This window comes from Homo sapiens, chromosome 9 (assembly GCF_000001405.40).
Source record: "Homo sapiens chromosome 9, GRCh38.p14 Primary Assembly".
NCBI lineage: Eukaryota > Metazoa > Chordata > Mammalia > Primates > Hominidae > Homo > Homo sapiens.
This window is the reverse complement of record NC_000009.12, coordinates 103370523-103381689: the sequence shown is the minus strand read 5'-3', so window position 1 is coordinate 103381689 and position 11167 is coordinate 103370523. Positions and strand designations below refer to the sequence as shown.

General features: G+C 35.6%; 1 annotated feature.

The window, feature by feature from the left end:
• Window positions 7790-7959: an enhancer, noted in NCBI's record as "experimental_104318 CRE fragment used in MPRA reporter constructs". NCBI's record gives its function as "activates a minimal promoter by MPRAs in K562 erythroleukemia cells, with activity observed for both the introgressed and non-introgressed 9:106136098 variant alleles {active_cell/tissue: K562}" and the evidence as "EXISTENCE:reporter gene assay evidence [ECO:0000049][PMID:34662402]".

Below are 11167 nucleotides of genomic sequence, written 5' to 3'. Positions count from 1 at the left end.
TCAGTGGTTTCCAGGGATTAGATGGGGTGGAAAGGGAGCTGGGTGTGGTTATAAAAGGGCAACAGCAGTTAGCTAATGAAGCTAACAGTTTCTTTAAAAGCTAAATATTCACCTGTTTTGAAACCCACCCACCCCATTGCTAGGTATTTACCCAAAACAAATGAAAACATGTGTCCACATATAGGACTGTATAAGGATATCCATAGTAACTTTATTTATACTAGTAAAAAATGGAAAACAACACAAATGCTCATCAGCTGGTGAATTGATAAATGAAATGTGGAATATCCATGCTGAAGAATGTTTATCACCTGTGTATGTTCATGTATCGACCACCAAGAGTCAAGATACAAAAATCATCCCACAGTCCCAATAACAGTCCATTGTTGGGACTGTGGGATGATTTTTATATCTTGACTCTGGTGGTAGATACATGAACATACACAGATGATAAAACTGTATAAATTTTATGCACACAGATCAAGTATGAATACATAAGTGCAATATCAAATAAATGTAAAAGCAGACATCATTACCTTGTTACTGACTATAGAGAAAAAACTGAATATTTCAACATTAATTATATTAGCTTTATGTTTCTCTTAGATGTCTTTTTTCCACATTGAGATAGTTTACTTCTTTTTCTGCTTTAAAGTCTTTGTATGAAAATTCCATCATCTGAATAATCTTAAGGTTAAAATTTGTTGAGTTTTATCTTTAAGAAAGAGTAATAGAATGGCTATTATTAAAAAGACAAAACAATAACAGATGCTGGTGAGTATGTGAAGAACAGAAAACTCTTATATACTGTTGATGGGAATGTAAATTAGTTCAGCCATCATAAAAAACTAAAACAAACAAAACAAAGCAAAAACTAAAAACAGAACTACTAATCATACAATCCAGCAGTCTCACTACTGGGTATTTCTCTAAAGAAAAGGAAATCAGTATATCAAAGGGATACCTTCACCACATTTTTATTGCAGCACTCTTCATAATAGCAAAGATACGGAATCAACTTAAGTGTCCAGCAACAGATGAATGGTTAAAGAAAATATGTTATATACACACAATGGAATGCTATCTAGTCTAAGAAGAATGAAATCCTGTCATTTGCAGCAACATGGATGGAATTAGAGGTCATTATGTCCAGTGAAATAAGCCAGGAAAAGAAAGATAAATAGCGCATGTTCTCATTCAAATATGAGAGCTAAAAAAGTTAATCTCATGGAGTTAGAGAATTGAATAAAAGTTACCAGAGTGTGGGAATGGTGTAGTGTGGGGGATAAAAAGAGGGTGGTTAATGAGTACAAACATACAGTTAGAAAGAAGGAATAAGGGTCGGGTGCAGAGGCTCAAGCCTGTAATACCAGCACTTTGGGAGGCTGAGGCAGGCGGATCATGAGGTCAAGAGTTTGAGACCAGCCTGGCCAACATGGTGAAACCCTGTCTTTACTAAAAATACAAAAATTAGCCAGGAGTGGTGGTGCATGCCTATAGCCCTGGCTACTCAGGAGGCCGAGGCAGGAGAATCTCTAGAACCTGGGAGTTGGAGGCTGCAGTGAGCCAAGATGGCGCCGCTGCACTCCAGCCTGGGTGATAGAGCGAGACTCCATCCAATAAAAAAGAAAGAAAGAATAAGTTCTATGGTCAATAGCAGAGCGATTATAATAGACATTCATTTTATATTTCAAAATAACTAGAAGAAATAATTTGAAATGTCCGCAACATGTAGAAACGATAAATACTTCAGGTGACGAATACCCTAATATCCTGACTTGATCATTGTACATTACATGCATATGACGAAAACCACATGTACCCTATAAATATGCATACTTATTTGTATCAATAAAAATTGAAAAAAAGAACTAGTAACATTTTTACGGTTTCTCGTACACAATTATTTTTTATTCTATCCTCCTTATTGTGAATACAATATAAAATCTGCATTCGGTTGTATTCTTCTTATGAATGCTGATATTTTTAATAGGCAATAATTTGGTTAGATTCAGATTACAAACATTTTATTACATCTCATGAGTAGCAGCTCAAATTTCAGTTTAGTTATTCTAGTACACGTTGAAAGTTACTTTGAGTCTGCACCATAGAAGCATGGTTCACCAATAAGGCAAGGATAGGGCTTGTACTCAGAATTTGTGGCACCTCATCTGTGGCTGTCTCTTTCCAGGATTCTCCCTTCAGTTTTCAGAAGTACAGTTGTCTTAAAATACGTCTGCCATTTTTCAGGCCAGAAAATCAACAGATTTTTCTATAAGAGCTCTCACCACAATCTCACATTGAAAATGTTGGCCTACCTTCAAAGTAAAAGCCAAGCAAAAACAAACAACTCTCACAGTAACATTTTTTAAGTGTCAACTCAGCTCTAGAATCTACTTGCATTTGATCACCCTCCAGTGTCAATGATTTTTTTTTTTTTTTTTTTTTTTTTGAGACACAGTCTTGCTCTTGTCCCCCAGGCTGGAGTGCAATGGCATGATCTCGGCTCACTGCAACATCCACCTCCTGAGTTCAAGCTATTCTCCTGCCTCAGCCTCCTGAGCAGCTGGGATTACAGGTGCCTGCCCCGATGCTTGCCTAATTTTTGTAGTTTTAGTAGAGACGGGGTTTCACCATGTTGGCCAGTCTGGTCTCAAACTCCTGACCTCAGGTGATCCGCCTGCCTTGGCCTCCCAAAATGCTGGGATTACAGGTGAGAGCCACGGTGCATGGCCTGTCAACGATGTTTTTCTAGTTTGTCTGGAGGTTTTAGCTGCTATGTACAGGAGGGTTGGGTCCAGTAGGAGCTGCTTGGCTATAGGAGTGATAACTCTTGTCCTCATTTTTTATTCTTTCTTCTTCCATAACTCTGTGCAGGGAGGAAGAAGAGAAGCCAGCAGCAGGGCTAGGATTGGCCTGGGTCTCTGGCTCCCCAGTGGAATATATGTGTCCTCAATTTTAGGCAATACTAACATATATTTGCATATAAGATTTCATAACTTGCATAGTTTATATATATATATGTGGTAGAGAAGTTCAAAATTGTATCTTACAACATCTCTTTATAAGCTTGTATCCCTAAAACCTTGCCTTCTGCTCAAACTGGATTCATAGAAGGGTTATAACTTGAACATACCCAAATGCTCATGAAATAGCAAGGTTCAAATTACTCATGTCCTTGCTCTCATATTTTATTTCTATTACATACAATTTTATTTCTGTACATACATAGGCCGGATGTGGTGGCTCAAACTTATAATCCCAGCACTTTGGGAGGCTGAGTAAGGAGGATCACTTAAGTTGAGGAGTTCAAGACCAACTTAGACAACATGGTGAAACCCCATCTCTACAAAAAAATCAAAACATTAGCTGAGCATGGTGGCATGCGCCTGTGGTCCCAGCTACTCTGGAGGCTAAGGTGGGAGTGTCACTTGACCTGAGACCAGGGAGGTCTCAGTGGTCAAGGCTGCAGTGAGAGGTGACTGTGTCACTGCACTCCAGCCAGGGCAACAAAGTGAAACTCTATCTCAAAAAAAAAAAAGGTCATAAATGGTTCACTTTATTGAAATTACATAATGTTGCCACATATATAATTATCAAATTTTACTTAAGCTCTGCAGAGGTGTTAAGAGACAATTTATTCTCCATATATTCAGAAACAATAGCTTGGTTTAATTTATATCTGTTGTAGAATCATCAACAGAAAATTTCTAAATGCTTTTATAGTATCCAAGGAGAATGTAAAAGCTGTATATAATTGTTACATTGCCATTTCTTTCTTTGTCAGAAATGTCATATGCTTGCTATTGTCAGATAAAGCAGACTGTCAACTTGTTTATTAGGGAAAGTGTAATCTGTGTGTCAGTTCCCATGGTGATTCATTGAATAGCTCAAATTAAAGCACATATATGTCTTAATTAAATATTTGAAATGGATTAATTCAAGGTAAGTAAACCAAATACATTTTTCTAAATTTACTACCATGAGTATGTCATGAGAAAAAAGAAAGTCATTGCTATTATTTTCAGAATACTAGTTTAGACCCCAACATGCTTATGGGGCACTTAATATTCTATAAACTATTCTTAGATGATATACTGAGACAACCCTCTAAAATTAAACATGAGGTAAATAAAATTCCCTTACCTCTGACTACTAAACCAAGAAATAGACATTTAACAGCAGAATTTGGTAAATTCTAAAATCATAAGCTTTTATAGTAAGCTTTAATGAAAGCTCATGGATTTCTTCTAATCTACTTATCAGAGTACAGATGAAGTCAAAGTTGACTGTAGAAGCAAGAAAAACCTAGGCCACATTTTCATATTAATACTCACAGGGTAAAAATGAAAGATATCTAGAGGAGAGAAGACAGCCCAAAGGAAAAGGAGGAGTCTATTTAGAACACCATCAGCACAATCAGAAATGCAAGGAAGCTATACCGTTATCAAGTGGATTTTTACATAACTGGACAATAAAGAACTGAAACAAATAGCATGATAACTGATGTCTAAATGCTCACCATATTTCAGGCCTCATGTGCATTATCTCTTTCAATATTGCAGCAGTCCTCTTAAGTATTTTTGTTTTTGTAACAGTTTAATAGCTCAGTGTAAATTAATAAATTAGATGCCCTGCTGTCTGCTCTTATATTGTATGCATCTTTTAGTTCCAATTATATTAGTTAGATTAGGCTCTTAAAGAAAGATTCTTTCTGCACATTGAACAGCAAGCTTGAACTTTCTAAAGAACTTTTATATTAGTGAATGTGACCAACTAGTTGAGATAATATTTAGTGTTGTTATTTGAATTCACCATCCCCTCCTTTGCTCCTGAGCTTAATGACATTCAAGCTCATTTTAAAAATACATTAAAAGACACATAAAGTCTAAAATAGCATATTACTGAAATGCATAATAAGTAAACCTTGAAACATGAATATAATAAAATATGACTGGCCATTCACAGAATAAGCTAAATGGTGAGTTATGGAGCACAAGTAATGGCTAAAGTCATCAGAAGAATTGTGCAGGATGGGCAATTTGAAGTTAAGTGGAGTACAGAGAAGATCACACTGTGGGAAGAGAGAGCATGACAAGAGGGGAAAACATGAGACAAAGCTGAATATTTTCTGGGGAGTAAACAGAAGGAGGAGATGATGATATATAAAGGGGGACAGTCTAAATGGTTCATAATGAGAGACAGAGAAAAAAAGGTTGAATAGAAAAAGGGCCAGATTCTGGACACTGTATTCAGATAAAAGAGCTACTTTCTCTAGAAAAAAAATTTTTTTAAATTTTGGAAAAATTTAAGATTAAATTCTCTCACAAGGAAGTAAGAATTTTCTAATTAATGGAATATATAAGCCCAAATACAAGTATTCATGTAACAATAAGAAAGCTTACCTGCATTTTAATAGGGATCTTTCTGGAAGGAGAAATACAAACTACTGCTGATGCTGCTAGATAATTTTTAAATCAATCACTGTGGGACAATAATAATTAAACTTTCATATTTTATATGTGCATATGTATTTATATAATCTAAGATATCTTATTGTACATCATGAATATAAACAATTTTACTTGTCAATTAAAAATGAATTTTTAAAAAAAGAAATTGATTTGTCCTCGGTCACATAGTTATCCAGGATTTATATATAGAGCTTTTGACCTCTGTCTTCTTTCCATTCTCTTATAAAGCAGTTGCAGTTTTATGGTCAGAGGTCCTTCATTAGGATGTTAAAGTAACTGGTATCTACCATGATTGAGTACTTAATTTTTATTTATATCTTGTCAGATGGCTGTCACTTTAAAAGAATTTTATATATACAATTTGTAGGAGAAATTATTTCTCATCCTTTTCATATCTAAGAAATTTTCTGGCCAGGCACGGTGGCTCACACCTGTAATCCTAGCACTTTGGGAGGCCACGGCAGGCGGATTGCCTGAGCTTAGGAGGTCGGGACCAGCCTGGGCAATATGGTGAAACCCCGTCTCTACTAAAATACAAAAGATTAGCCGGGCGTGGTGGCGGGTGCCTGTAGTCCCAACTACTCAGGAGGCTGAGGCAGGAGAATCGCTTGAACCCAGGAGATAGAGGCTGCAGTGAGCTGAGGTCATGCTACTGCACTCCAACCTGGGTGACAGAGCAAGACTCCATCTCAAAAAAAAAAAAAAAATTCTGTGTTCTTCATGCAAGGAAATTAGCTAAATTTAAGTTATTGGCTCATATTTTTATTTCAAAATTTGTTCACAATGACTTTACTTTTTAAAATTTAGTGTTGAATTTAATGTTGTAGAGGCAAAGTCTAGAGCCAGTTTAATAGCAGTTCTATTTTATATATAACTTGTCATTATAGGATTATTCATGTTATTGTTGGTTATTTACCCTTTTTTGTTTTTCTTTGTTTGCCCGCATTTGCCTGCCCTCACTCCACCATAAAATTCTACTACTTGTGTTAAACCTTCATAAATTTCAGGACAAGTTTCAGTTGGGGCTCAGGGTAAGTGGACAGCTTCTTTTCATTTTACAAAAAAGGTCTGCCATAAGATGGTCCCACTAAACAAAAGGTACACCAACATAAATTTGAGTTTTATAAATTTTTTGGTACATAGCAACACTTATATTCCTCTGTACTTTCCTATGTATGTGTCTTTATCTATTGATCTTAGCCCATTTAAAACTGAAATTTTGCTTGTCAAGCCCAGGCCAGTCTCACCTCACCATTTGTCTTGAGAATTCTGTCATCATCTGTGCACACTGATGGAGGCACGTATCACATGCCGATTAAATTAAGTAAAAGAAACATCTCTCTGAAATGGAACTGCTTGCAATTAGCACACACATTCCTCACTCTTTGCTGTGAATAGAAGTCTTTGAAGATCAGGAATTATACCAAATCATTTAAAATATCTCCAGAAAATTAATTTACTCATTTAATTAATTTATTTGGGTACATATGCATGCATACATCCTTCTAATCTAAAATAATTGAGAATCTAAAATAATTTTGAATATACCAAGAACTGTGGTATTGAAAGACAGTAGTTGAGTTTCCAGAGATCCACAGAGAGTTAACAGTTCCTTCCATAGGAGGAGTTCCATAGAATCCATTTATCTACTACAGAACCTGCTAGAAGTAATTACTTAGTATGCCTCTATTAACGAATTAATTTCTGAAATCTAATTTATCTGTATTGTTGGTTGAGAATAAAGAAAAATTATTTACCTGCTAATTAATTGTTTAAAAAACTAAATATAAAAAACTAAAATAAATGTTCAATTAGGGCCATACATAACAAATCTATATTTTAACTTTTTTTCCTTGATAATCAATGCTGACATAAAAGGAGGAGAGGAATGAAAGAGAGGGTTTCTTTTTCCTTTTTTTTAAGGTTTCCTTTCTAGTCATCTTACTCTGATCCTCTTACAAGATGCTATTGACCATATGTGAGCAGAAGTCTCATTTTATTGACAGTAAAGTGAACCCAGAAATATCTGAGATAGGCCTCAATCAATTTAGAAACTTTTGCCAAAGTTATTGCCAAGGTTAAAGACATGTCCATGGCACAGCCTCAGGAAGTCCTCATGATATGTACCTGAGGTGGTCAGGGTACAGCTTGCTTTTATACATTTTAGGGAGGCGTCAATCAATATATCAATATATCAATCTATATATATGAGATTTACATTGACTTGATCTGGAAGAGCAGGACAACTAGAAGGAGGGGCTTCTGGGTCATAGGTAGATTAAAAAATTTTCTGATTGGCAATTGGTTGAAAGAGTTATTATTCATAGGAAGAAATGTCTAGGTTATGATAAGGGGTTGTAGACACCAAGGTTTTATCATGCAGATGAAGCCTCCAGGTAGCAGGCTTCAGAGAGAATTGGTTGTAAATGTTTCCTATCAGACTTACGGCTCCGGTTGATGTTAATGCTAGTCAGGTTTTCCTAAATTCCGAAAGGGAGGAGGGTATACAGAGGCATGTTTGAGCCCCCCTTCCCATCATGGCCTCAACTAGTTTTTCAGGTTAACTTTGGAATGCCCTTGGCCAAGAGGAGAGGTCTGTTCAGATGGGTTGGGGGATGTGTAGGGGTCTTACAATTTTGTTTCTGGTTTACAATAATAACTCAGAATTTAGAGCAAAATTTATATGTGTTCATTTCTATATTTTCTCATTAATGTAATCATGTATTAGGTATTTATCAAGTTTATGTATGAAATCACACTGTTGTTTGATGAATACAAGTTTAGATAAGAAATTTTGTGTATCCTTAATAAATCAAGCTGTTACAGTAAATAGGCAGATATGGTCAGGACAGGAGAGGTCCCCCACAACCAGGAATGTCAGGTGATGATCAGGTAATAGGTGGTTTTTGAGCTGTCTCTTTAAAATAATAATTGATGGCAGCTGGTACCAGGGAAAGGCAGTCTCCAAATATATAGAAAACAACTAAAGTTGATGATCAGCAGCTTCCTGATAAGATCTTAGGGGTTGGGCAAGTGGGCTCATGCATGCACACTAAGAGGAAAATGGCAGAGTTTAACTGGTAACCGGTATATGACCTTTTAGGAACAGTTGACTGGTAAGGGAACAACACCTCAAGTAAGCATGCATACACCTTCCGTAAACACACTGTGCGTGCAGCCGCTCCCAAGTGCTGCCAGGCCACTGCACATGCAGACAGCCCACCCCAAGAGAAGAATCAGGGAAAAGGGGACTCAAGAGCCCAGAAGCATGCAAAATGTATAAAATCCCAAGTCAAAGATCAAACAGTGCCCTTGATCTCTCAAGTCTCCCACTTGGCTCTCTTCCAAGTGTACTTTACTTCCCTTCATTCCTGCTCTAAACATTTTAATAAACTTTCACTCCCACTCCAGAACTTACCTCAGTCTCTCACTCTGCCTTATGCCCCTCGGTCGAATTCTTTCTTCTGAGGAGGCAAGAATTGAAGTTGCTGCAGACCCATGTGGATTCTCCACTGCTGGTAACAAAACCAAATAGGTAAGAAAAAATATGTATGCTAACTATGTTTTAATAAGAAAAAACTGATATACACATGATATATAGTACTGCTTCAGCATTGTCACTAGAGATGTATGCACAAAGAAGGCATAGTTAGATGTTAGGCAAACTCAGGTTCAAATGCTTGCTTTACTTTTATGACCTTCAGCTTTCTTACTTGTGAAGAGTATCTATCTGAATATAGCGTTATGTTAAAACATATTAAAAATAAAGTGCTTGGGAGAATGAATTAGCATTGCTAATGCTTCAATTATAGGCCAAGGCCAAATCCACAGAGAAAAATGTAAGCTCTTATGCATGTTAAAAAAAGGAAGTTTTCAGACATAATTGACTACCAATTATTTGCCCCCTTCTGAAGCATTTTAAAAAGCAGATGTTAAAGAGTTCAATTAATTTGTATTTGTATATGTGGGACTCTATCAATAAAAGAAAAATGTGCCGTGAATAATGTGACTTCCCATACTTCCTTCTTATATAATCTTAGCCAAATCTCTCCTACAAGTCTGGCAAATATGCAGAATATTATGGGATGGCTTATGCCTATAGCCTTGTTCCTGGCCTCATCTGCTAATTTCTCATGGTGGTGGGATTTTAAGTAATGCAGACTGTGCTCAAACTCAATTCTGCTGTTTAGCATCTGTATAAATGTCAGTTACTTCAGTTCCCTAGGCCTGAATTTCCCATATGGTAAAATAGGGTGAAAAGGGATCTCCAGCTTTAGAGATTTTGTGAGGATTAAAATATATAATGCATGCAGAGGATGTGGCAAAGTGTTGAGAAAGTGCCCAATAAACAATTATTTTGTTATTATTCATATTATTATTTATTCAGCTACCTATTATTCACCTTTTATTCTTATGTCTATAGAAGATATTCTATTTTCAAGAACCAGATAAGACACAGATAAACAAGTAAACGCAATGTTACAATGATTTTATTTCCTTCAATTTAAGGATATTCAAAATTTTAAATAAAGTTTTTTTAATCTCTCTATAAATTAATATTTCTAATTTCAGGAAAAGCCATCAGAAATCAATTATTTAGCTGAGCATTCATGTCTTTCCTGATCTCTTCACTCTCTGAACTTGAGTACAGCAAAACTTCCTTTTTTTTTCATTCCCAAGCATTAAAAGCTAAATCTCTGAATGAAAGGAAATAGAACTAAATGAAAAGCCAAACTAATTTTACTTAAGCAGCCACAGCTTTCCCAGTGAATGATTTGGAGCTCTTCAGTGTTACTTAGTGAATGTAATCACACATATTTGTCTTGTAGAGAATTATATTGTGACATATGCACAGTAAGCGGGACTGCTATTATATAAATTACCGAAGATTTGCTGCTTGAAGTTGCAGCATACAAAAGAAAGCACGCATATATTTTTTGTCACAAAAATATTGCCATTATTTAAAGAAACCTCATCTACGTATGTTATTTACTAATAAGACCGGTCATAGTCTCACTAATATTTATACACAATTTGTGTTCAGTAACAAAAATGCCCAAACATTAGGCAGAACAAGTCAAAATTCTCAGACAAATAAAATATTATATTTTTTAAGTTTAGATTGAAAGGTTTTTCAAAATGCTACATTCTGCAATTTTATTTCTTTAATCTCTTCTTTCCTTCCTACTTTCAATATATATGTGTGCATATGTGTGTTCTGTACGTAAATATAAGGAGGGCTGTTGTAGTCTGGATGCATTACATAAATCTTACTCAAGAATGTGTCTGAACTGAGATTTCAAAGATAACCAGATCTTGTCTGGGTGAATGAGTCAGTAGAAGATATTCAGGGTACAAGAATACCTTATTGGAAGTTCAGATGTGAGAATGAGCATGACACTTTGGAAGATCTGGAAGACCAGTGTGGCCAGAGAACAGAGGTGAAGGGTGAGTGAGATGTGATAAATACTTATAAAATCTTCAAGATATTTTACATTAAAATTACCTAAAGCACTGTAAGCCATACATATATATATGTATAAATTATCGCTCTAAGTATATATAATTAAAATGTTCACCAATATATAAAATAACATTTCTTCTCAGAATGAAAGGCTGTTTCTTTTTCTTTTTTTTTTTTTTTTTTTTTTTTTTTTTTTTTTTTTTGAGACGGAGTCTCGCTCTGTCGCCCA